General features: G+C 44.2%; 1 protein-coding gene and 1 long non-coding RNA gene across 8 annotated transcripts in view, besides 2 other annotated features; one reads left to right on the top strand and one right to left on the bottom strand.

Annotated features, from left to right (window-relative positions):
* Positions 1 to 7899: 7899 nt before the first annotated feature.
* CCDC13-AS2 (CCDC13 antisense RNA 2) lies at positions 7900 to 10923 on the bottom strand. Its single transcript, NR_122070.1, has 2 exons — positions 10458 to 10923; positions 7900 to 8330 (listed from the first exon to the last, which is right to left on the bottom strand). It is a non-coding gene; the product is annotated as a CCDC13 antisense RNA 2 (long non-coding RNA).
* Positions 8102 to 8271: an enhancer, noted in NCBI's record as "active region_19750". NCBI's record gives its function as "activates an Ori minimal core promoter by ATAC-STARR-seq in GM12878 lymphoblastoid cells {active_cell/tissue: GM12878}" and the evidence as "EXISTENCE:reporter gene assay evidence [ECO:0000049][PMID:35858748]".
* CCDC13 (coiled-coil domain containing 13) overlaps positions 8282 to 27299 on the top strand; it is a 69136-nt gene continuing 50118 nt past the window's right edge. For all 7 annotated transcript variants that reach the window (XR_940385.1, XM_011533418.3, XM_005264898.4 and 4 more), the window contains exons 1-3: positions 8282 to 8359; positions 23184 to 23410; positions 24321 to 24469. Coding sequence is in view for 6 of the 7 variants with exons in the window: in XM_011533418.3 (XP_011531720.1) it covers positions 23190 to 23410; positions 24321 to 24469 (370 nt within the window). In the remaining variant the exon portion in view is untranslated. The remainder of the gene's footprint in view (positions 8360 to 23183; positions 23411 to 24320; positions 24470 to 27299) is intronic.
* Positions 8402 to 8561: a silencer, noted in NCBI's record as "silent region_14250". NCBI's record gives its function as "represses an Ori minimal core promoter by ATAC-STARR-seq in GM12878 lymphoblastoid cells {active_cell/tissue: GM12878}" and the evidence as "EXISTENCE:reporter gene assay evidence [ECO:0000049][PMID:35858748]".

Genomic DNA, 27299 nt, shown 5'->3' with positions numbered 1-27299 from the left:
GACTTTAAGCAGATAAGGAAACTTCACAGAACAGCTTCATGGCGGGGAGGGGGTAGGAGGTCAGAGAGACCTTGAGGCTGCATCTTCAGTCCAGCATGTCAAAGCATCGTATTTTGGGGTATTTGTTTCTGAGTCCCAACACAATAAAGGATGATAATTATTAGGTAGAGGATGCAACAGGAACATCCGGCTGGGGGAACCTAACCCAGGGTTGGGGTTGGAGAAATTCTCCCTGAGGAAACAATGTTCTACTTTACGGAGATAGTATGTTGATTTTTCATTGAGAGTTAGAGTCCATGGCTTAATGTTGGATGTTATTGGAGTGTTGGTGTGTGTGATTGCTTCCATGCCTCTCCTCCAGTTGTCTGAGGGCATGATGGCCTTTCTCATCCAAAGCACGTGGCACACATAAGTGTTCAGCGTTTGTTGAATTAATTAGAATTAAAAGGTTTGGGGCTTCTACATTCAGGATCCTACTGTCCCTAGAAGGTATGTATTTCTAGTTACTGAACAACAGTGACATCTGGTGGTAAGAGTTGGAATTTGACTCCACACTTAAAAGCCCCCTAAATAACACTCGACTTCTGAATCACAGACAGATTTTTGGAGTGGAAGGAGTATTGGTCATGTAGGCCATGTCTCTTGCCTCAGAGATGAGGAACTGCTGCTCAGTTTCAGGGACTTGAAATTTAGGTTGTATCCCCATGTACATCTATAGTTTTATCACATCATAACTACCAGACCAGAACAACACTGAATGAACATAAAGTATTTTAAAGTTCTCATGTCAGAGTGGAACTGCCAAATATTATTTATACACTTGGTCCCATTTGAAAGCTGTTTGAATAGAATAGGGAAATTTGAGAGAGGCAGCTGGGACATGCACCCTGACTGGTTTGCTACTTTTATCAGTGAATGATTTACCTGATATGAGTTCATGGAAGAACTAACACTGCTCATACAATCTAGTTTCCTTGCCTACTTCCCCCTTAGTCACTGAACGAAGCAAAAGAAAGAATTTGTTTGTAGCAAGACAAAAGTTAGAAAAATTTCCCCCTGAATTCAGCAGTAATAAGTGAGTCTACGGTGGAGGCCGGTGTCCAGTTGATCCCCTCAGAGAAACCTAAGAACAGGTCCTTGCAGTAGTATTCTGAGCTTCTTACAACGTTGGTGTTAGGTCTTTTCCTATCCTGAATGCAACTCTGAAGTGTTAGGACTGACTAAAATTTTGCCATCACATCTTTGAGTTATGGTCCTTACCTAATCTCACCTTGTCTACAACCCTATCTGTTGTCTTCCCCACAGTGCCTCTTCCTAGCTCACTCATTTCTGTCAATGATAACCCCATCTCCCGCTGTCATCCCCTGAGCTCAAACCTCCTGGGCTCAAGTGATCTTCCCACCACAGCTCCCCAGGTAGTTGGACTACGGGCATGGGCCGCCACACCCAGCTGATATTTGTATTTTTTGTAGAGATGGGATTTCACCATGTTGGTCAGGCTGGTCTCAACCTCCTGAGCCCAAGTGATCTGCCTGCCTCAGCCTCCCAAAGTGCTGGGGTTACAGGCATGAGCCACTGTGCCTGGCTTATATATATGTGTTTTTTAATTGAGACTGGGTCTTGCTCTGTCGCCCAGGCTGGAGTGCAGTGGCATGATCATAACTCACTGCAGCTCTGTCTCCTGAGCTCAAGCAATTCTGCCTCAGCCTCCTGAGTAGCTGGAACTATAGGTGCACACCACCACACCTAGCTAATTGTTTCAGCCTTTATAGAAAGGAAGCTGAAGAGATTCCCACATACAAATGGTCTTTACTGTGGAAGTGGTAAATTAAATACTATTAAGTGCACAAGGCATTGCGGACCTAGTTAATGAGAGAAATGAATAATTACTAGGATCAGGTGACTCACCCAAATGTTTTGAAAGACTATGATGTGAGCCAAGAATGGAAATGAGAAATTTGAGGATAAAATAAATATATTAGCAACCTTGTGCTGAAGGCTTGGTGGAGAGCCAGGGTAGATCTCATCTATCAGAGAGGTCCCTTGGAGCTAAGGATTGACGAATCTTGGCAGAACATTGAGTTTTCTAATAAAGTCAACATATGATGAGTGGGACCACATCTATACAAACACATCTTAGACAAAATAGTTCCGTGGATAAAATAAGATTGACTGTAGCCAAATGGTGTTAAGCTAAACACAAAATGTGCTGGAGGACTCTGGGAGGCTAGTAGCTACCAAAGCCCAAATCCATGGCAAGTTGTACAGGCAGAACTTCCAGCACAAAGGGGCTTGAACCTGGAGAAAATGAACAATTTTTTTTTTTTTTTTTTTTTTGAGACCGAGTCTCGCTCTGTCGCCCAGGCTGGAGTGCAGTGGCGGGATCTCGGCTCACTGCAAGCTCCGCCTCCCGGGTTCACGCCATTCTCCTGCCTCAGCCTCCCAAGTAGCTGGGACTACAGGCGCCCGCCACTACGCCCGGCTAATTTTTTGTAGAAAATGAACAATTTTTATCTATGTAGGGCTCCTGATTGTGAAGTGGAATAATTTAATAAGGCTTAACCCTGGGCCAAAAATACCCTCTAGGCAGTTTGTTTCTGTTTGTTCTGAATCCATGCTCACAATATCTTTCTGATGACTCTTTTGGCTTTGTGGGTGCCTGATGCTGGGAAGGGAGAGTCTCTGGACATGGGTCACAACCCACAGATATAAACGAGAGACTTAGTGTTCCTGGTTTGTATGTCAGTTACACGTGACTGGTGTAAGTCTAGCCCCAAGAGATACTCATGGTATAATAACTAAATTGGATTTGGGGCCTGCAAAGCTGAGGTCTAGAATGAGAGCTGTGAAATGGAGAGAGCCAAATGAGGCCTTGGTTTTAAGCTGTAGCAGAACTTACTTCCATTACCAGGCAAAACAGCTAAATCTGTAGTAATTAATATATGTGACTACTAAAATAATAAAGATAACTGAAGAGAATTTCACATTTTACAAAGCACTTTCATGACCTATTTGATTATCATGATAATAAAGGTACTATTACCGTTTTAAGAAGAAAGTTGAGGTTTGTGACTTGACTAATGAGGTCAAAACTCAGGTATTCCCACTTCTGACTTTGTTCAATTCATTTTTGTTTCTCATAGTAAGAGTAGGGCCACTGTTTATGTTATGTTTACTTATTGGTGGGAGAGAGAATTTCAGTGATGGGAAATATATTTGGTGACTATTATCATTAAGATAAATAAGCATGGGTAAAAGTCCCACTTTAAAGTTGGAACTACATGGAACTGTGGGGAGAACCTAATTTAGGGATTAGGAAAAAAAGCCATTACACCCACACAAGTATGCACAGCTGATTTTTAAAACCTTTATTGTGGTAAATATACATATAAAAATTACCATTTTAACCATTTTTAAGTGTACAATACAGTGGAACTAAGTATATTCAAAATGCTATGTAACCATCACCACCATCCACCTCTAAAGTCTTTTCATCAGCCCAAACAGAAACTCCATGCCCTTTAAGAATAACTTCTGGTTGGATGTGGTGGCTCACACCTATAATCCTAGCACTTTGGGAGGTCAAGGCAGATCGCTTGAGCCCAGGAGTTCGAGATCAACCTGGGCAACATGGCGAAACACCATCTCTACAAAAAATACAAAAATTAGCTCGGTGTGGTGGTGCGAGCCTGTGGTCCCAACTACTTGGGATGCTAAGGTGGGAAGATAACCTGAGCCCAGGTGGTTGAGGCTGTAGTGAGCTGTCATTGCACGACTGCATTCCAGCCTGGGCGATAGAGCGAGACCCTGTCTCAAAAACAAACAAAAACCCCCAAACCTCTCTACTTGCCCCGTTCTTCCACTCCCTAGCATCCTCTATTCTACTTTCTGTCTCTATGAATTTGTTCATTCTAGGTACCTAATATACATGGAATCGTACAATATTTGCCATTTTGTGTCTGGCTTATTTCACTTAGCATAATGTTTTCAAGGTTCATCCAGAATTCAGAATTTCATTCTTTTCTAAGGCTGAATATTCTGTGGAGTATATATACCACCTTTTGTTTACTCATTCATCTGTTGAAGGTTGCTTGGGTTGTTTCTACCTTCTGGCTATCGTGAATAATGCTGCTATGAACACTGGCATACAATTACCTGTTTGAGTCCCTTCTTTATTTTTTATTATTACTTTTTTTGTAGAGACAAGGTCTCGCTATGGTGACCAGGCTGGTCTCGAGTTCCTGGCCTCAAGCAGTCCTCTACCTCAGCCTCCCAAAGGGCTGGGATTACAGGCATGAGACACTGTGTCTGGCCAAGTCCCTTCTTTCAAATCTTTCGGGCATATATTTAGAAGTGGAATTGTAAATCATACGGTAATTCAATGTTTAACTTTTTGAGGAACCACCAAACTGTTTTCTACAGTGGATATACCATTTTACATTCCCACTAGCTCTACATAAGGGTTCCAAATTCTTCACATCCTGGCAAACACTTGTTATTTTCCATTTTTTGGATAATATCCATCCTAATGGGTGTGAAATGGTATCTCGTGGTTTTGGTTTGCATTTCTCTAATGGTTAGTGATGTTGGGCATGTTTTCATGTGCTTATTTGCCATTTGTATATCTTCTTTGGATTAATGTCTATTGAAGTCCTTTGCCCATTTTTGAATTGGGTTTTGTTGTTGAGATAGCTAACCTGATTTTTGACAAAGGTGCAAAAGCAATTCAATGGAGGAAGCATAGCTTTCCAACAAATGGTGCTGGAACAACTGGACACCATAGGCAAAAAAGCAAAAAAGAACCTTGATCTAAATTTCATACCTTTATATAAAAATTACATCAAAATAAATCATGGGCATAAAACTCTAACACTTTTATAAAAATGGGGGGAAATCTTTGGGACCCAGGGCTAGGCAAAGAGTTCTTTCTTAGACTTGAAATCAAAAGCACAATCCATTAAAGAAGGAATTGATAAATTGGACCTTGTCAAAATCAAAGCCTTTTGTTCTGTGAAAGCCCAAGTGAAGAGGATTAAAAGATGAACTACAGATTCGGAGAAAGTATTTGCAAACTACGTATCCAACAACGGACTAGTATATAGAATATATAAAGAATTCTCAAAACTCGACAGTTAGAAATTGGGCAAAAGACATGAACAGACACTTCACCAAAGAAAATATACAGATGACAAATAAGCACATGAAAAAGATGTTCAATATCATTATCCGTCACGTACATTAGAACCACAATGATATCACTACACACCTATTAAAATGACTAAAATAAAAATAGTGACATCAAATGCTGGCAAGGATGTGAAGAAACTGTGTCACTTAAACATTTCTGGTAAGAATGTAAAGTGGAACAGTCACTCTGGAAAACAGGTTTGGCAATTTCTTCTAAAACTAGATATGCAGTTACCATACTACACAGCAATTGCACTCTTGGGCATTTATTCCATAGGAATGAAAACTTATGTTCACACAAAAACCTATACATGAATGTTTATAGCAGCTGAATCATAATTGCTCCTAACTGGAAACAACCCAGATGTCTTTCAGTGGGTAAATGGTTAAACAAACTGGTACATTCATACTAGAACTACTCAGCAATAAAAAGGAATGGATTATTGATACACACAACAACTTGGATGAATCTCCAAGGAATTGTTCTGAGTAAAAAAAAAAAAAAATCCATCCTAAAAAGTGTACATGCTGAGTTATTTCATTTATATAACATTTTTGAAATGACAAAATTTTAGAAATGGAGGGCAGACTGGTGGTTGTAAAGGGTTAGGGACTAGGGCAGGAGGAGGGAGGGAAGTGTACATAGTCATAAAATCACAACAGAGAGATCCTTGTGATAGTATTTGGTATCTTTTTTTTTTTTTGAGACAGAGTCTCACTCTTGTCGCCCAGGCTGGAGTGTAATGGCGCGATCTCAGCTCACTGCAACCTCCACTTCCTGAGTTCAAGCGATTCTCATGCCTCAGCCTCCCAAGTAGCTGGGATTACAGGCAAGCACCACTATGCCTGGCTAATTTTTGTTATTTTTAGTAGATATAGGATTTTGCCATGTTGACCAGGCTGGTCTTGAACTCCTGGCCTCAAGTGATCTGCCTGCCTCAGCATCCCAAAATGCTGGGATTATAGGCGTGCATGAGTCACCATGCCCGGCTAGTATTTGATATCTTGATGGTCATGGATACACAAACTGACACGTGATAAATCAAAAGAAAAGTACAGTTAAATTGGAGAAATCTAAGAGGAGTAGGTTGTATCGATGTCAATATCCTGGTTGTAATATTATACTAAAGTTCTGCAAAATATCATTGTGGAGAACTGGAAAAGTATACAGGGGATCTCTATTATTTTTTACAACTGCATGTGATTCTATAAAAATCTCAATATAATTTCAAATTAAAAAGCAAAAAACAAAGGGCAGTGTCCTACAGATACTTCTGGCTAGAGAAACAAAGTGGGCTGGAATTAACAAACATCTGTATACTGTACATGAGGAAATACTGGTGACCCAGATTGGATTCGCCAGCTTCTTGGATGATAAAATGTCAAGCTTATAAACTAAAGAAAATTCTCAAAAGAATTTTGGGCAGAAAAAAAAAATGGCATGAGAGCCTTAGTGGTGACCGTGGAAAAGTAACAAACCTAGAGGAAAATCATCCCTGCTTTTTAAAAAATGGGTTACTGCAAAAATGATATCCTCGTCAAAAATAATCCTTGGATTGCTGGAGCAAATGTTACCCCTTTCCCAAACTTTCTAATACATACATTCTAGAATGTCGGTTCTGAAATTCTCTTGCATCCTTAATTTTCTCACAGCATGTTCTTATTTTAATGAAAACCTGGCTTTCTGCTAGGATCCATGCTTTCCAGAAGCCCTCTAAGTAGACCTGGCTATTCCTTTTCCTATGCCACATAGTCCCATCGTGGTCATGAGGCAAACGAATGATACTCCCCACTACACACACCATTTAAAAAAAACCCTAATCCTTTGAGGCTCACATCTACCTGAATCCTACTCTTTATCCTGTCTCTCTTTGCTGCCACCTGTATATTATACGTCTCCCACCCTCAGCTCACCAGGCAGCAATTGGAGACCAACGGGAAAGATCCATTTTTCCTTTATCAGGAAACTTCGGGTTTATACCTGCAGTGCTGATGGCAGTCTAGTGCCGTATCTTATGTATGCATGTCTATGGGATGGGTATTCATTCACCTTATGAGGAAAAAAAATAGAAAAACAACTGCCAAGGTTTTCAAATTATGAAGTCCTGGATAAATATTTGGGCAGGAGCTGTGGCTCACGCCTGTAATCCCGGCACTTTAGGAGGCCAAGGTGGGCGGATCACCTGAGGTCAGGAGTTCAAGACCAGCCTGGTCAACATGGTGAAACCCCGTCTCCACTAAAAATAAAAAAATTAGCCAGGTGTGGTGGCGGGTGCCTGTAATCCCAGCTACTCAGGAGGCTGAGGCAGGAGAATCGCTTGAACCTGGGAAATGGAGGTTGCAATGAGCTGAGATCGCACCACTGCACTCCAGCCTGGGCGACACAGCGAGACTCTATCATAGATAGATAGATAGATTAGATAGATAGATAGATAGAAAGAAATCTCCCTTGAATCATCTTTCCTAGAAATTTGCCTCCCACCCCCATATTGCCCTGAAATATAGTAGTGTCTTACATTGGAAGGTGCCATTTAAAAAAAAAAAAACAAGTATTTTCCTTTATGAAAATAAACGATGTTCATTATTTTAAAAATTCTCTAAAGTGTAAAAATAAAAACACAGCACTGCTATTCCACCACCCAAATATAACCACTTTTAATATTTCTATTTCGGTCTTGTTTTAGTGCCTAGTTTGAAATAAACACAACTTTATTTATTTAGCATTGCTATATTGCGTCCTGCTTCCTTCACTCACCATCATAACATGGCCTTTCCCCACACTGTTTTACATTTTTCAAATATATCTGAATGGCTACTTTAAATTTCATGGTGAGATCGTTCGCTTTTTAACTCCCCAACAGGAGAGCGGAATGGGCATCTCTGTGCAGAACGTTTGGTCCACAAAACTTTTTTAAAAATATACTCCAGAAGATTTAAAATCTCCAGCGCACTCGAGATCGTGCTCGCTTGGATCCAGCCCAGCGCGCCATCAGCGCCTCTGTCACTTTCAGAACTCTTGGCGCCCCCTCGGCCCCCGTAGAGTAGCGTTGAAAACGCGCAAGTGACGTCGCTTGTTTCCCTGGTGACGGTTGCCAGGGCAGCGCGTGTCGGCGTCCGGAGGAGGTGACCTAGCCGCCGCGGTCCTAGAAGGGAGAAGTGGAGAGAGACCGCTGTAAGTGCCGGGGAGAGCGGAAGGGCCCGGGCCGGAGCTGGGAAAGCCCGCAGCTGCCGGGGGCGCGGAACCGAGCCCGAGCGCAACCCCAGCCCGAGCGCGCTGCCACTGGCCGGGCGCTCACCGCGTGCTGGGCGCCCAGCGAGGACTCTTCCCCTTCGTCCTTTGAATCTTCACACACAGCCCTCTTCTAACCCAGGCAGACGCTTATTTTCCATGCAGTACATGGGTTAATGAGGCGCAGAGGGTGGGTCGCCTGCCCCAAAGTCATAGCGTAGATGGCACAGTCAGAACTCGAACTCAGGTCCGCCTGACAAGCGCTGTTTGCTGGGCCTCTGCCACTGGGCCCTCTCGCACCGCACTGAAAGATGCGACCCGACGGCGTGCACTTCCGCATCTCCCAGTTCCCCTTCCAGGCCCAGCCCCCACAGGACTGGGGACTCGCAAGAGGGAGTTCCCCTCCAAGCCCGGAGTCCAGCCCTGAGAACCAGAGCATCACCCCGCTCCCATCCCAAACCCATCCCTACGAAGATGCTAGCAGTGCACAGAGCGCCAAACTAGGCATCCGTGGGCGGCCTCCCCACACCTCCAGGCCCCTAGACTGTTGTTGAGAATACTCGAAAAGAACACAGTAAAAGAAAAGAAGAAAGAGAAGGAGAGGGGAAGAGAAAAACAATGAAAAAAGTGGCAGGCCGATGGGGCAAGGGGTCTCAATCCTTCCTCACTGGTCCCTGTCACCTATGGTCCCATATCCTGTGGGATCTTGCTTCCTCATAGGACTCCAGAGTGCATGCCACTCTTCCTACTCCCTGGCTCTAAGTCCTACCTGAGCCAAGAGTTCTTTCCATGCAGCTCTAGCCTTTACTTTATTTTTTTTATTATTACTTTTTTTTTTTTTTTTTTTTTTTGACGGAGTCTCGCTCTATCGCCCAGGCTGGAGTGCAGTAGCGCGATCTTGGCTCATTGCAACCTCTGCCTCCCAGGTTCAAGCGATTCTCCTGCCTTGGGCTCGAGTAGCTGGGATTACAGGCGCCCGCCACCATGCCTGGCTAATTTTGGTATTTTTAGTAGAGATGGGGTTTCACCATGTTGGCCAGGCTGGTCTCAAACTCCTGACCTCAGGTGATCCACCCACCTCAGCCTCCCAAAGTTTTGGGATTACACGCATGAGCCACCACGCCCGGCTTAGCCTTTACTTTTAAAAGAAAATAGACTTAAAGCAGATTTTTAGAAGCATTAAACAAAAAACAGTTCCTTTATGTATTCCGTATTCCCATTTCCTCTGTTGTTAACATCTTACACATTGCATTGGTGTGGTACATTTGTTATCATTGATACAACTATACTGGTATGTTATTACTAACTAAAGTCCATAGTTTACATTAGAGTTCATCTGTTGTTGTTGTTGCTGCTGCTGTATTGAGACAGGGTCTCACTTTGTCACCCAGGCTGGAGTGCGGTGGCATGATCATGGCTCACAGTAGCCTCCAACCCCTGGGCTCAAGCAATCCTCCCACCTCAGCCTCCTGAGTAACTGGGAACACAGGCACATGCCACCATGCCCAGCTAATTTTTTTATTTTTTGTAAAGCTATGGTCTTGCTATGTTGCCCAAGCTGGTCTCAAACTCCTGGCCTCAAGTGGTCCTCCCACCTTGGCTTCGTAGAGTGTTGAGATTACAGGTGTGAGTCATCACACCTGGCCAGTGTTCATTGCTTAAGGTTGCACAGGTCTACAAGTTTTGCTAAATGTGTAATGCTGTGTATCCACCAGTAAAGTATACAGAACAGTTTCACCTCCCCAAAAACCCCCTAGGCTTTACTGTTCATTGTTCCTTCCCACCAACCCCTGGAAACCACTGATATTTTTCATTTAGAAGGGATTTACAATCACTGGTATCTTTTACTTCTCTGTAATTTTGCCTTTTTCAGAATATTATACAGTTTGCAATTATACAGCATGTAGCCTTTTCAGACCGGCTTCTTCACTTAACAATACACATTTAGGTTTCTTTCATGTCTTTTCGTGGCGTGATAGCTCATTTCTTTTCATCACTGAATAATATTCACCGGTATGAGTGTACCAGGTTATCTACTCACCTATTGAAGTACATCTTGTTTTTTTCTCATTTTTGGTAATTATGAATAAAGTTATTGAGTCCAGAATTGTGGGTTCTTGGTCTCACTGACTTCAAGAACAAAGCCGCAGACCCTCGCGGTGAGTGTTATTACAGTTCTTAAAGGTGGCGTGTCTGGAGTTTGTTTCTTCCTTCTGATGTCAAGATGTGTTCAGAGTTTCTTCCTTTTGGTGGGTTCATGGTCTCGCTGGCTCAGGAGTGAAGCTGCAGACCTTCGCGGTGAGTGTTACAGCTCTTAGGGTGGTGCGTCTGGAGTTGTTCATTCCTCCTGGTGGGTTCGTGGTCTTGCTGGCTTCAGGAGTGAAGCTGCAGACCTTCACGGTGAGTGTTACAGCTCATAAAAGCAGTGTGGACCCAAAGAGTGAGCAGTAGCAAGATTTAGTGCAAAGAGCAAAAGAACAAAGCTTCAACAGTGTGGAAGGGGACCTCAGCAGGTTGCCACTGCTGCCTGGGGCAGCCTGCTTTTATTCTCTTATCTGGCCCCACCCACATCCTGCTGATTGGTCCATTTTACAGAGAGCCCATTGGTCTGTTTTACAGAGAGCTGATTGGTCCGTTTTGACAGGGTGCTGATTGGTGCATTTACAATTGCTGAGCTAGACACAAAAGTTTTCCACTTCCCCACTAGATCAACTAGATACAGAATGTCAATTGGTGCATTTACAAACCTTGAGCTAGATACAGAGTGCCGATTGGTGTATTCACAATCCCTTAGCTAGACATAAAGATTCTCAAAGTCCCCACCAGATTAGCTAGATACAGAGTGCCGATTGGTGCATTCACAAACCCTGAGCTAGACATAGGGTGCTGATTGGTGTGTTTACAAACCTTGAGCTAGATACAGAGTGCTGATTGGTGCACTCACAATCCCTTAGCTAGACACAAAGGTTCTCCAAGTCCCCACTAGACTCAGGAGCCCAGCTAGGTTCACCCAGTGGATCCTGCACCAGGGCCCCAGGCGGAGGTGCCGGCCAGTCCCGCTGTGTGCCCGCACTCCTCAGCCCTTGGGCTTTTGATGGGACCAGGTGCTGCGGAGCAGGGGGTGGCGCTCGTTGGGGAGGCTGGGGCGCGCAGGAGCCCACGGTGGCAGGGGGAGGCTCAGGCATGGCGGGCTGCCGGTCCCCAGCCCTGCCCTGCGGGGAGGCAGCTAAGGCCCCGTGAGAAATTGAGCACAGCAGCTGCTGGCCCAGGTGCTAAGCTCCTCACTGCCAGGGGCTTGCGGCCAGCCGGCTGCTTGGAGTGTGGGCCTGCGGAGCCCACACCCACCCAGAACCCTCACTGGCCGGCAAGCGCTGCGCGCAGCCCCAGTTCTCACCGGCACCTCTCACTCCACACCTGCCTGCAAGCTGAGGGAGCCAGCTCCGGCCTTGGCCAGCCCAGAGAGGGTCTCCCACAGTGCAGCAGCAGGCTGAAGGGCTCCTCAAGCACCGCCAGAGTGGGCGCCAAGGCCGAGGAGGTGCCCAGAGTGAGCGAGGGCTGCGAGGGCTGCCAGCATGCTGTCACCTCTCACTATGAACATTTCATGTGCAGGTTTTTGTGTGGATATATTGTTAAACTCATTTAGGTAAATATGATCACTGGATCATATGGCAAGACTGTTTAGCTTTGAAAAAGACTACCCAATTGTCTTGCAAAGTGGCTTTTCCATTTTGCATCCCCACCAGCAATAAATAGAAATTCTTGTTGCTTCACATTCTTGCCATCATTTGATGTTGTCAATGTTTTGGATTCTAGCCATTCTAATAGGTATGTAATGGTATCTCATTTTTGTTTTAATTTGCAATTTCCTGATTACATATGATGCTGAACATCTTTTCATATGTCTATTTGCCATCCATATTTCTTTTTTGTTGAGGAGTTTGTTCAGATCTTTTGCCCACTTTTCTTTTTTTTCTTTTTTTGAAACGGCGTTTCACTCTTGTTGCCCAGACTGGAGTGCAATGGCATGATCTCGGCTCACTGCAACCTCCACCTCCCAGGTTCAAGCAATTCTCCTGCCTCAGCCTCCTGAGTAGCTGGGATTACAGGCTCCTGCCACCACGCCCAGCTAATTTTTATATTTTTAGTCGACACAGGGTTTAACCATGTTGGCCAGACTGGTCTGGAACTCCCAACCTCAGGTGATCCACCCACCTCAGCCTCCCAAAGTGCTGGGATTACAGGCATGAGCCACCATGCCCGGCCTTGCCCACTTTTTAACTGGGGTATTTTCTTATTATTAAGTTATCAGAATTCTTTGTATATGTTGGATGTAGTCCTTTGTCAAATATGTGTCTGGCAGGTTTTCTTCCAGTCTCTATGGCTTCTCTTTTCTTTCATTTTCTTGTTTTTTATTTTTTTTTATTTTTTGAGTCTTTCTCTGTAGCCCAGGCTGGAGTGCAGTGGAGTGATCTCAGCTTACTGCAACCTCCACCTCCCGGGTTCAAGCGATTCTCCTGCCTCAGCCTTCCGAGTAGCTGGGACTGCAGGTGCACACCAACATGCCCAGCTAATTTTTTTATTTTCAGTAGAGACAGGGTTTCACCATGTTGGCCAGGCTGGTCTCAAACTCCTGACCTCAGGTGATCCGCCTGCCTCAGCCTCCTAAAGTGCTGGGATTACAGGCATGAGCCACCATTCCCGGCCTCTTTTCATTTTCTTAACAGTATCTTTCACAGAGTAGAAGTTTATAATTTTAATGAAGTTGAATTTATCAATTTTTTTTGTTTCATGTATCATGCTTTTGGTATTATATATGAAAACTCATAGCCAAACCCAAGGTCAGCTAGATTTTCTCCTGTATTACCTTCTAGAAGTTTTGCAGTTTACATTTCAGTATATAACCCATTTTGAGTTAATATTTGTGACAGGGATGAGGTCTGTGTCTAGATTCACTTTTTTACATATGGATATTCGTTGTTCCAGCACCATTGCCTTTGTTTCTTTGTCAAGGATCAGTTGACTCTATTTATGTGGATCTATTTCTGGGCTCTTTATTTGGTTTCATTGATTCATTTGTCTGTTTCTTCACCAATACCACACTGTCTTAATTACTATCATTTTATAGTAAGTCTTTTTTTTTTTTTGAGATGGAGTTTTGCTCCTGTTGGCCAGGCTGGAGTGCAATGTCACGATCTCAGCTCACTGCAACCTCTGCCTCCTGGGTTCAAGCGATTCTCCTGCCTCAGCCTCCCAGGTAGCTGGGATTACAGGTGCCCACCACCACACCTGGCAATTTTTGTATTTTTAGTAGAGACGGGGTTTTACCACATTTGCCAGGGTGGTCTTGAACTCCTGACCTCAGGTGATCCACCCACCCGCCTCGGCCTCCCAAAGTGCTGGGATTACAGGTGTGAGCCACCACGCCTAGCCTAGTAAGTCTTAAGGTCAGGTAGTGTCAGTTTTCCACCTTTGTTCTTTTTTAATATTGTGTTGGATATTCTGGATCTTTTGCCTCTCCACATAAACTTTGGAATCAATTTGTCGATATCCATACAGTAATTTGCTGGGATTTCTTTATTGCAATTGCATTGAATCTATAGATCAAGTTGGGAAGAACTGACATCTTAACAATATTCATTCTTCCTATTCATGTGCATGAGATAACTATTTGTTTAGTTCTTGATTTTATCAGAGTTTTATAGTTTATAGTCTTTTCCCAGAGTTTTATATTTCTCCTAATATAGATCTTACACATATTTTGTAAGATTTATACCTAAGTATTTCAATGTTTGTGTTAATATAAATGGCATTGCATTTTTAACTTGAGCTTTCCATTGCTTATTGCTAGTATGTGGGAAAACATTTGACTTCTGTGTATTAACCTTACTTCTTGCAACCTTGCTGCAATCACTTATAAGTTCCAGGAGTTTTTTTGTTCTTTTTTTTTTTAATAGATTCTTTGAGATTTTCTGCATAGACAATCAGTCATCTGCAACCAAGGCAATTTTATTTCTTCCTTTCCAAAATATATATCTTTTATTTCCTTTTCTTGGCTTATTCCATTAGGTAGAACTTCTAGTATGATGTTGAAAGAGAGTAGAGAGAAGGGACATCTTGTCATGTTCCCAGTCTTAGGGGTAAAGCGTGTAGTTTCTCACTGCTAAGTATGGTGGTAGCTGTATGTTTTTTGTAGATGTTCTTAATCAAATTGAAGAAGTTCCCCTCTATTCCTAGTTTACTTAGAGCTTTTATCATGAATGAGCATTGGATTTTGTCAAATGCTTTTTCTGTGTCTACTAATATGATTGTGTGACTTTTCTCCTTTAGCCTGTTGATGTGATAGGTTTATGTTAATTGATTTTCTAATGTTAAACCAGCCTTGCATACCTAAAGTAACTCCTATTTGGTCATGTGGTATAATTTTTCAAATACATCATTGGATTCAATTTGCTAATATTCTTGGAGAGGAAGTTTGTTTGTTTGGTTGGTTGGTTGTTTTTTTTTTTTTTTCTTTGAGACAGGATCTCGCTCTTTTCCCCGGTCTGGAGTGCAGTGGTGCAATCATGGCTCACTGCAGTGAGAGGAAGATCTGAGAATTACCTCCCCTCCTTTCACTTGACTGGCCCATCAAACTCTTTCTTTGCTGCAAAACTCGCTGTTTTTAGTGCATTGGTTTTCTGAACAGCAGGCAAGATGAACCCGTCAGGCTGTTACTTGCTTCCAGCTGTCTCTTCTTCCTCTTCCCTCTCCTTCCCTCTCTCCCACCTCCTCACTCTACACCTTCTCCTCATGCTGCTTTGTTCATACTCTAGGTCTCAACTACCTGAGGCTCCAGCTCAGACTTCCCTTCTGAACCCCAGACCCACCCAGCATCTCAGCCAGCCAGCTGCCCACCCAGCATCTCAAAGTCCACCACCTTGTCTGCAGCGTGGAAAACTGCTCCTCTGTCAGGGCCTGCTGTCTCCCCAGTCACTCAAACCCAAACCGCCTAGGTTTCTCCCCTCTCCTTCTCTGCATAGTTGCCTTCAGTCCCTTCCATTTGGCAGCAATTCCTCTTCCCCCTCCTCCATCTCCACTGCTACAGTTTTGATTTAGGCCCACATGGCTTCCCAGAGACCCCCTCCTAGCTAGGCCCTTTGCCTCCAGCTCTGCAGAAGGCAAAGCTGATCCTGTGTGCACCCTCTGAACATCTCCAGCGCCTCAGGATAAAGTCCAGGCTCCTTAGCTGGGCAGATCAGACCCTTCTTCTGGTGCCTCCCCAAATGTGCCCTGCCCTCTGGCCATTCTGAACCTTTCATAGTTCCCCACACTCATCACATTCTCTGCACATGCTGTTCTGGCAGGAGAGCCCGTTGCCCCCCACTCAGGCACCGTCCCTTCCCCACCCAGGTGAATTTCTTCTGCATTCAGCTTCAAATTGACTGAGATGCCTGTCTCTCCTGCAGCTTCTCTCTCCCCAGACAGCCTCTCAGAGTGCTTAACACCTCTCATTCTCAAACCAGCTGAACGTTAGGCTCACCTGGGAAGCTTTAAAAATACAAAAATGTTAGCTGGGCGTAGTGGTGCATGCCTGTAGTCCCAGCTACTCGGGAGGCTGAGGCAGGAGAATCGCTTGAACCCAGGAGATGGAGGTTGCTGTGAGCCGAGATCGTGCCATTGCACTCCAGCCTGGGCAACGAGAGTGAAACTCCATCTCAAAAAAATAAAAATAAAAATAGACACCCTGGCCACAGCCCAGATAATTAATTTCAAATCTCCACTGGCCTCATGAATAGCACAGATTAGATACTAATACTCTGGGGGCCGGTCTGGACCACAGGTGTCCTCTCAGTGCAGGCATTACTGTCTATCCCAGAGGCTCCGTTGGGCCAAGAGCACCACTTTTCATACAGTGATAATGATAATTATTTCCATGCATTCTTCCACTTAATCTCACAAACTCCCTGTGAAGTTCGTAAGTATCAGAGTCCCATTTTACAAATGGGAAACGAAAGCAAAGAGGTTAAGTAATTTGCCTGGGGCACAGTGTACATTCAATGAGTACCAGTTCCTCAGTGACTTCAAGTGCAAATTGGGAGTAGAAAAGGAGAAAAGCTTTACAAGTTACTGTGTTCATTCATTCAGTGACAATTCTACAAATGACAGTTGAAGGCCTGTTCTGGGCAAGATGTTGAGATTTAGCAAATGAATAAGGTATTAGGACCCCTGCCCTTAAGAGGTCTCTTTGTAAAGGGAAGTAATGTAAATAAAATAATAGATAATTATAATACACTGAGGTTAAGTTTAGTGATCAAGGGGTGCCCTAGGGATTCTGGGAGTCCACAGAGTGCCCTGAGGGGAATCCTAGAGGCTAACTGGGAGTTAGTGGGAAGGTAAAGGGCTGGGATGGGGAGGCCTGGGAGGAAGGCCTCCCAGGTAGAGGAGTGGCTGAAGCCAGCCTCTGAGATGCCACTGGGCTTAATCCACAGCAGGAGCCACAAACCCAAAACATCTGCTGTGGCTGATGGGAAATAAAAGTGAATCCAGCAGGTTTAAGAGAAAGAACAACATTTATGTGCAGTGATAATGGGCAGCTGATGTGCCAGCTGCAGCATCTGGAGGTGGCAGGGACAGTGGTTTAATGGAAAGAACCTATTATGCACCAAAGGAACTCTCTGCATAGCAGCTGCTGTCCGTGTGGGACGATGGGCCCAGCATTGCCAGATCTGTAAACTTTTATAAAAGAAGCTGGTGTAAACTAAACATAAAATTCAGAGGCCCCCCATCCATCTGAATGGACTTCCTTCTCAGCCAGGGCACTCCAAAGTTAACCTGAAAGACCAGTTCAGGCCTTGATGGGAAGCAAGGGTTGGACACGCCTCATTATACCCTCCTCCCTTTTGGAATTCAGGAAAAGTTGACCAACATTTAACATCAACACAGACCTTAAGTCTGATAAGAAACATTTACAATCTATTCTCTCTGAAGCCTGCTACCTGGAGGCTTCATTTGCATGATCAAAACTTTTATCTCTTTTATTCTAACCCAGATATTCCTTTCTATTTATAGTAACTCTTTTAACCAATTACCAATCAGAAAAATTTTAAATCTACTTATCACCTGGAAGCTCCCCCCTCCCAACCTTGGAGTTGTCCTGCTTTTCTGGACCAAATCGGTATATATCTTAAATGTATTTGATTGATGTCTCAGGTCTGCCTGAAATGTATAAAACCAAGCTGTGCCCTGACCACCTTGGGCACGTGGTCTCAGGATCTCCTGAGGGCTGTGTCACAGGCCATGATCACTCACATTTGGCTCAGAATAAATCTCTTCAGACTGGGTGCAGTGGCTCACACCTGTGATCCCAGCACTTTGGGAGGCTGAGGTGGGTGGATCACTTGAGATCAGGAGTTCAAGACCAGCCTGGCCAACATGGTGAAACCATGTCTCTACAAAAACATACAAAAATTATCTGGGTGTGGTGGTGCATGCCTGTAGTCCCAGCAACTCAGAAGGCTGAGGCAGGAGAATTGCTTGAGCCCAGGAGGCAGAGGTTGCAGTGAGCCAAGATTGTGCCACTGCGCTCCAGCCTGGGTGACAGAGCGAGACTTCATCTAAAAAAAAAAAAAAAAAAAAGTACATCTCTTCAAATATTTTACAGAGTTTGACTGTTTTTGTTGACACTGGAAATCTGATATTGAAACTACAATTCTTTGAATGTTGGCAACAAATTCAAATCCTAACATAGTGTTCTGTAAGAGCCAAACAAAAATGTCTGTGGGATGTGTTAAACTAACTGTAGCCTAAAGCTGCCTTCTTATATATTCTAAGTTCAGCCTAAAGGTTTCTCTGTACGTAGTAAACTGTAACCTGACTAGGAATTTAAACAGACTGCAATCTACTCTTGTACCAGTCACAGAGTTTCAGCCAATCACAGGCAGCCAGCTATTCAAATTGTATTCAAAAAAGGCAAACAGCCAGCTGTAATCAGTCTAGCTGTTTCTGTACCTCACTTGTGCTTTCTGTTCATCACTTTCCTTTTTCTGTTCATAAATCTTTTTCGACTAGGTGGCAGCCCTGGAGTCACTCTGAATCTGTTCTGGTTCTGGGGGCTGCTAGATTTGTGAATCATTCTTTGCTCAGTTGAATTCTGTTAAATTTGATTTGTTTAAAGTTTTTCTTTTTTTATTTTGGAGACAGGGTCTGACTGTCACCCAGGTTAGAGTGCAGTGGCGCGATCACAGCTCATTGTAGTCTCAACCTCCTGGGCTCAAGCTGTGCTTCCACCTTGGCCTTCCAAAGTGCTGGGATTACAGGTGTGAGCCATCATGCCTGGCCTAACGTTTATCTTTTAACAAAGGATATAGCCTTTGGGCCAGCTATTATACTCACATGTATTGTTTATTACAATGAAAGAATACGGGTCAAAATCAGCAAAGAGACACATAGGGCAGAGTCCAGGAGACACCAGGTGCAAGCTTCCAGTTGTCTTCTCCCAGTGGAGTCATGTTGACAGTACTTACTTCTCCCAGAAACAATTCGTGGCAACTTACATGGAGTACTGCCAGCCAGGGAAGCTCCCCTGAGTCTTGGTGTCCAGGGTTTTTATTAGGAGATGGTTACGTAGGTACAGTTGACCTTAGTCACTCGATCTCCAGCCCCCTCCAGCCTACCCTGCACCTGGCAATGAATCACATTGTTAATTAACATGGACTGGAATGGCCCAAGGTCCCCAGGTGAAGAAAAACACTCTCATCAGGAAGGATGGTCCAAGGGCTCAGAGATTCTCTCTTAGGAGCGGGTCAAAGGCCAAACATGTTTTTTGGAATGTGCGGGTGTGCACAATACAGGTTTTCAGAGTTAATTCTTTATAGTTCCTCTTACTGGGCAGAGCTGCCTGGTAAGGAATTTCAACATAACACCAGCTTCTGCTTTTGTTTGACCTTTGCCAAACCCTGGGCTCAGCCCACAGCACATTAAAACCAGCTGGGCAGCAGTTAAACCATCCCATGCTTGGTCTCCACTCCAGACTAATTTAAATCAGATTCTCTAGGGGTGGGCCTGGTTATCAGCATTTTTAGATTGTATCCTGGGGATTTGGTATTGAAGCAAGTTTAAGAGTAACTGGGTACAGGCTCTGGGACCACCCCTGTGTGTGAGATGGAGATAAGTATATTAAGAAGGTACAGATAGAGCAGTTGAAGCTGTTTGGGTAGGTAGAGTATTCCTCCTGGCGGGTCAGAAAAGGACCATGGTATTCATGCTGGGTGTAGGAGGACCAGCAAGATTTAAGCCTTGGGGGGAGAAGGAGGTATAGGAACAGAGGAGCAAGTCAACACAACTAGCTAGAAGTTAGCATTATGAAAGGGAAAACAGGCTAGAAGGACACAGAGGCCAAATCCAAAGCGCTTAATGCCATTGGACTTGGCTTTGTGGCTAAGGGGCATCTGCTGAAGCTTTTTGCACAGGAGTCTGTCAGGCTCAGAGCTGTGGTTTAGAGAAACTTGTCCCTCAGCAAATGTTATTCATTTGTTCAGCAAGTATTCATTCCATGCCTGCCATATACCAGGCCCTGCTACAGGCACTGAGGATACAGCAATGAACAACACAGTGCCTGCCATTGTGAAGCTGGTGGGGAGGGAGAGAGGCAGTCAACAAGTAAACAAATCAAAATATAATGTGTCAGATGACTCTCAGTGCCATGGAGGAAGACAAAACAGGGCAAGGGCATGGGGAGCGAGGGCAGGGATGCCTTCTACAATAGGATATGAGGAGACCTCTGTGATAAGGTGACATTTGAGAGGAAGTAGGTAAGGTAGATGTCTGGGGGAAGGACATTCCTGGAGAGGTAACAGCAAGTGCAGATACCCCAAGGTGGTTATGAGCCTGGTATCAGTGGGAATGGAGACATGGGGGCAGATTTTAGGACATTTATGGAAAATAAACAAGATTTATGATTAATTGGATGATAGGTAGATGATGTGGCTTGAGGTTGGTTTAAGGCAGGGATGCTTACCACTGGCTACACTTTAAAATCGTGAGGGGAGCATTTAATAATTCCAGTGTCTGTGCTCTATTATTTCATTTATGTGAAGTTCAAACAGACAAAGTATCAAGAATGTACAAGAAACTGATCATTCAGTAACAGTGAGTGATTGTATTGTGACTGTAAATTGTATTGTCTAATACAATTTAAAAATGGGCAAAAAATGTGAATAGACACATCACAAAAGAAGATATACACATGGTCAACAAGCACATGAAAAGATGCTCAACATAACTAGTCAACAGAGAAATACAAATTAAAAACACATTGAGATACCATTTTATTTTTATTTTATTTTAATTAATTAATTTATTTATATTTTATTTATTTATTTATTTTGAGACAGAGTCTTGCTCTGTCACCCAGGTTGGAATGCAATGGCGCAATCTTGGCTCACTGCAACCTCGGCCAGGCTGGAGTGCCATGGCGCAATCTTGGCTCACTGCAACCTCGCCCAGGCTGGAGTGCCATGGCGCAATCTTGGCTCACTGCAACCTCGCCCAGGCTGGAGTGCAATGGCTCAATCTTGACTCACTGCAACCTCTGCCTCCCAGGTTCAAGTGATTCTCCTGCCTTAGCCTCCTGAGTAACTGGGATTACAGGCCTGTGTCACCACACCCAGCTAATTTTTGTATTTTTAGTAGAGATGGGGTTTCTCCATTTTGGCCAGACTTGTCTCAAACTTCTGAACTCCGGTGATCCACCCACCTCAGCCTCCCAAAGTGTTGGGATTACAGGCATGAGCCACTGTGCCCTGCCTATTTATTTATTTATTTATTTATTTATTTATTTATTTATTTAGAGACAAGAATTTTGCTCTTGTTGCCCAGGCTGGAGTGCAATGGCATGATCTCAGCTCACTGCAACCTCTGCCTCCTGGGTTCAAGCAATTCTCCTGACTCAACCTCCCGAGTAGCAGGGATTACAGGCACATGTCACCACGCCTGGCTAATTTTGTATTTTTAGTAGAGATGGGGTTTCATCATGTTGGTCAGGCTAGTCTCGAATTCCTGACCTCAGTTTATCCACCCACCTCGGCCTCCTAGAGGGATGGGATTACAGGGATGAGCCACCATGCCCGGCTGAGATACCATTTTACATACTAATGAGAAAGTCTAAAATTTAGACTGACTAGCCTAAATGCTGACGAGGATGGCGCAACTGGGACTCCCATTGCTAGTAAGAATGTAAAATGGTACAACCACTCTGGCAAACAGTTTAGCAGTTTCTTATGAAGTTAAACATAAATTACCATATAAGCCAGAATTTTCACTTCTATGTATTTACCCAAGAGAAATAAAAACATACATTCACACAAATACCTTCTTATACATGAATGTTCATAACGGCTTTATTCATAATAGCCAAAACTGGAAACAGCTCAGATGTCCAATAACAAGTGAATGTATAATCAAATTCTTGTTTATTTAAACAAGGTAATATTACTCAGTAATAAAAACGAATGAGCTTATAATGTGTGCAATGACATTGATGAATCTCAAAAAGGTAGTGCTGAGCAAAAAAGAAGCCAGACACAAAAGGCTAACGACTGTATGATTCTAGTTATATGAAATTCCAGAAAAGGCAAAACTGTAGTGAACAAAAGCAGACCAGAGTTTGCCTGGGATTGGGATTGGGATTGGCTGGAAATTGACTGCAAAAGGGCACAAAGGAGGATTTTGGGGTGATGAAAATGTTCTTTCACGATGGTGGAGGTGGTTTACACAAGTGAATATATTTGTCAAAACTCATTTGTACACATAAAATTTGTGTTTTTTTTTTTTTTGGAGACAGGGTCTCACTGTTACTCACAATGGAATATAGTGGCACAATCATGGCTCACTGCAGCCTCCACTTCCTGGGCTCAAGCGATCTTGCCACCTCAGCCTCCTAAGTAGCTGGGACTACAGGCATGCACCACCACAACCAATTTTTTGTAGAGATGGGGTTTTGCCATGTTATACAGGCTGGTCTCAAACTCCTGGTCTCAAGCAGTCTACTCACCTTGGCCTCCCAAAGTGCTGTGATTGCAAGGCATGAGCCACTGCACCCAACCTGGTGGATTTTATTGTACATAAATTATTCTTTGATAGACTGACTAAAAAGAAACCAGACAAAATTAATCTTAGGTGGTAGCGGTCAGAATAATGGTTACCTTGGGGGATGATTCACTGGAAGGGGCACAAAGTAGCCTGCTCAGGGACCGTAAGTGCCCTGTACCTTGATCTGGGTGGTCACCACAGAGGTATATGTCTATGGAAAGATTCACTGAGCCGTATGGTCAGGATTTATGTACTTTATTGCATGTGAATTATACCTGAATTTAAAAAGAAAAAGAAGAAATGATGGCCAAGCCCTGTTCCTAGAAACTGGGATTTAGCTGGTCTGGAAATGGTCCCAGGCATTGTTATTTAGGAGTTCCTAGGGGATTTCAATGTTCAACCAGAGTTGAGAACCATTGATTTAAGGGACAGGCAAGAGTCAAGTGTTGAGTCTGAGTGATGGAGACTATTCTGATGCCATGTGCAATCTGGTGGCATGTTCAGGAACTGGGGAGGATGCTCAGTTCAACCTTGGGTTTCTAGTGATCTGAGGTGAGGGTGGAGCTTCCAAGCTTCTGCGTGGACATACATGCAACGCGAAGCAGTAAACTCCAAGGCTGGGGCTGCAGACAGGGCGGACTGTGTGCTGAGCGCTCGGTGTGGAGTTTGCTTCAGCTGAGGCTTCATTTCTGATGCCTAGGGCAGGATGGCAGCAGATGAAAGCTCACAGAACACTTTGCGGCTCCAGTTCAAGGCAATGCAGGAGATGCAGCACAAACGGTTACAGAAGCAGATGGAGAAAAAGAGGGAAAAAGAACTGAGCCTCAAAAGCAGAGCTGACGACCAAGAGGAGCCCTTGGAGGTTTCAGATGGCCTCAGCCTTCTCCACGCAGGGGAGCCAAACTCGAAAAATAGCTTTGAGAAGAGGTAAATGCAAGTTTGAAATCTCTCAGGGGTGTGTGTGTGTGTGTGTGTGTGTGTGTGTGTGTACCACCGGAGCTATAGCAAAACTTGTAAAATGCAGCTAAAGTGATAGAAGGAAGCTTAGAGCCTTAATTATAGCTGCATTTAACAAGTTTTGATACAGCTTCTGTGGTCAATCCATTCTAAATGCTTTATAATACATATTATGATTTCTTCTTAACCCATAAATAATTTAGGAGTATAGGGTGTTTTTCTAGTTCCAAGCATATGATGAGTTTTGGGTTTTCTTGTTTTATTTCTATTTTTTATTATTGATTTCTAAAACAGTCACTTGCCATTAGAGAAAATAGTCTGTATAATGTTATTATTTAGAATTTGCTAAGATTCCCTTTATAACCTATAATACTTTTTTTTAAGAGACAGAGTCTTGTACTGTCACCCGGGCTGGAATGCAGGATGATAGCTCACTGCAGCCTCAAGCTCCTGGGTTCAAGCAATCCTTCCACCTCAGCTTCTAGAGTCACTGGGATTACACGTGTACACCACCATGCCTGGCTAATTTTGTTTTCTTTTATTTTTAGAGACAGGGTCTTTCTTTGTTGCCTAGGCTAGTCACAAACTCCTGCCTTGGCTTCCCAAAGTGCTGGGATTAGAGGCATGAGCCACCACACCCAGCCCTGTAATATATTTTTATGCATGTTCCATGGATGCTTAAAAGAAATATGAATTATGAGTGGGTTTTTTTATAACTCCCTATTTAAGCCAGCTAATGAACGACATTGAAATCTTTCTTCTTTCACGTCAGTGTGTCTGCATCTGCGTGTCCATCTGTCCACCTAGGCAGTGGAGGCCTGACCCCTGCCCACCAGGGCCTTTGCCTTGGAGGAGCATTAATTCTGCCTTTGCCTTGTAGGGTGCTTGAAGATGAGATTGAACACCTTCGAAATGAGCTCAGGGAAACGGTGGACGAGAACGGGCGATTGTATAAGCTGCTGAAGGAAAGGGACTTTGAAATCAAACACCTCAAAAAGAAAATAGAAGAGGACAGATTTGCCTTCACAGGTAGCTCCACCATTGTTGTGATAGTCCTTGCCCTGCAGTCCAGGGACTTCAGATAGGGCAGACAGCAGGTTCCAGAGAGCAGATTCCCAAGAGAGTGCCAAGGGTCAGTTGTGATCAAGCTTGTCCAGAGGAGTCCTGGAAGTGAGGGAGAGGGTAGAGGAAAAGAGCAGCCCCAGGGAGGCCAGCCCACCAGAAAATGGGAGCACAGGGAGCAATGAGGGATTTAAAAATGGGCCAGAAGGGCCAGCAGGCAAGCATCATAGGCAATGTTGGTGATCCAGCTGGGACTCATGACAAGGGTTTGCCATCATGCTCGCAGCATGTAAAGGGGCTGGCAGGATCCATTTCTCCTTGGTGCACTGGCTCACATGTTATGTTGTGAACATAAAAAAGGCCCAGCAGCCTGCAGTGAGCTATGATCACCCCCACTGCACTGAACCCTGGGCAACAGAGATCCTGTCTTGAAAAAAAAAAAAGCCCCAGTAGAGCCAGGTATGAACTCTACAGCACCTGCTGTTGCTGCTCCAGAAAGGTAGATGAGTCACCTGTTCTAGGAGGATATCATGGGACCCAACCACCAACAAGGTGTGGGCTGGGTCTTGGCCCTGTAAGTCTGGGCTAGACCTTGGCTGTGTTGGTGGAGACCTCATGGTGGCCCCATGAGTCTGGTGAGGACCTTGGCTTTGCAGGTCTGGGAATGACCTTTGATCATGGTTGTGAGCTGGACATTGGCTCTGTGGTTATGAGTTTGACTTTTGCCCTGCTGATGTAGTGAGGACTTTGGACTTGATTGTCCTGTGTTATGTATATACCCATTGAGCAATTCGCAGATGGCTAATAAATAAGAAAGTATTATAGATGTCACCAATCACGGAGAGCAACAGGGCTGACTCAGCATCTACCAGACTATTGTCCTTGCCTTTGAGAGTAAATGCGTTTGAGGATAGGTACGTTCATAGGACCAAAGCTCTGGTCAGTCAATGCTGAATTACAAAGCAAGGGGAATTTGGTATCCTAAAGACTCATGGTAGCCTAATGCACCTCCCTCCATTCTTTGGCCTTTTCTGTCTGAAACAAAAAACACAAAGCCTGGCTAAGGAAGCCTACACTCAGCCTGGTTACAGATTCAGCTGTGGAAGGGGCCACTTGCACTTTTGCAAGGCTGTAGAGAAGCTGATGGGCTCCAGGGGGAGCAGGAGATACATCTCCACCCAGCAGACCTGGGAAGCAGATCTGGGGTTACTCCCTCTTCCCCAGCCCCTCTCATTGTTAACTGTCTCTTGCAAGCTTTGCCAAAGCCCAGACTTGGTTGTGGCCTCATCTGACTGCCAGCCCTAAGCGTCCCTGAAAACCACTTAAATCCAGTCTTCACTCTGAAGTCACCATTTCTGATTTTCATTCTCACGTTTTGGAGAGAAAATCTGACAAGCCCATTTATGTTTTTAATTTTTTTCTTTTTGAGACAGAGTCTTGCTCTGTTGCCCAGATTAGAGTGCAGTGGCACGATCTTGGCTCACCACAACCTCCACTTCCTGGGTTCAAGTGATTCTCCTGCCTCAGCCTCCTGAGTAGCTGGGATTACAGGTGTGTGCCACCACACCCAGCTAATTTTTGTATTTTTAGTAGAGACAGGGTTTCACCATGTTGGCTAGTCTGGTCTCGAACTGCTGACCTTGTGATCTGCCCGCCTCGGACTCCCAAAGTCCTGGGATTACAGGTGTGAGCCACCGCGACTGGCCTCCATTTATGTTTTTAAACTGAGCTGCAAGTGACAGGCTACTGAGAGTTGATAGATCGGTTTCTTTTGGCTGGATTTTTAGTGATTCCTTTGGGTTTTGTTTGCTTACTATATTTTTCGTACAGTTTTTTAGTGATCTAGTGATTACAAAATATTTATTACCTTTTCATAGTCTACGTAGAACTAATATTTTACCACTTCAAATGGAATGTAGAAACTTTACCACCATTCAGGTCCCTTTACCTCTCCCTTTCTATTGCAGTTTTTATATGTATTATATCTATATATATTGAAAATCCCATCAGTCAATGTTATACTTTTTGCTCAACTATTATATGTATTTTAAAGAACCCAAAGGGAAAACTATTCTATTTAGCCAGATAGTTAGCATTTCTGTGTTTGCCCATCCACTGCCGCCCCCATTTATCAAGGGGTTGCAGCTTCAACAGTAGAGCTTGCCTGGAGACAGGGTTGGGAAAGAATAGGAAAAAAAAATACCCAGAGGATTTTTTCCATTCTGTCTGAGCCCCACTTCCTGCTCTTTGGACTAGAAAGACCTTCTCTTGAACCTCTTTCTGATAGCCAGTTCCAGAATTTGTGCTGATTTGAGTCCTGGGAGGAAACGTACCACTGGACCATTTGTAATTCTAGGTCCGGTTTCCTTCCCCAATATGCTTGCTACCATTTATGTCCGGAACCCTCAGGTAGCTGCTTCACACATCCTATCCAGGGCTTTTGGTTGTATTCAGCAAAAGAGACAGGGTAGAGTGCGCTTACTCCATCTTAACCAGAACCAGACCTCTGCTGAAACTGCATTTCTTTAACTGCTAGAGTTCATGATTTTCACAGTGATCCTTTATTATCACCACCCCCGTTACCCTCCTGACACACAACCTATTAAAGGAGCCAGGGAGCAAAGTGTGCCATCTTGGTGCTGAATGGGGCCTGTCTCCCTCTAGATACTCCAGGGCTCCAGGTCTGCTCTGAGCCTTTTCTCTTGGTGTGTCCTTGTCTTCTTCAGCAGACATGAGATTCCAAGGGCAGCTACTCCTAGTTGCCCCACTCACTGCCTCGCCCAGGCTGGCAGGAGCA

Source organism: Homo sapiens, chromosome 3, assembly GCF_000001405.40.
Source record: "Homo sapiens chromosome 3, GRCh38.p14 Primary Assembly".
Taxonomy (NCBI): domain Eukaryota; kingdom Metazoa; phylum Chordata; class Mammalia; order Primates; family Hominidae; genus Homo; species Homo sapiens.
Note: the sequence above shows the minus strand (reverse complement) of the source record. Positions and strands in the feature narration are given on the sequence as shown.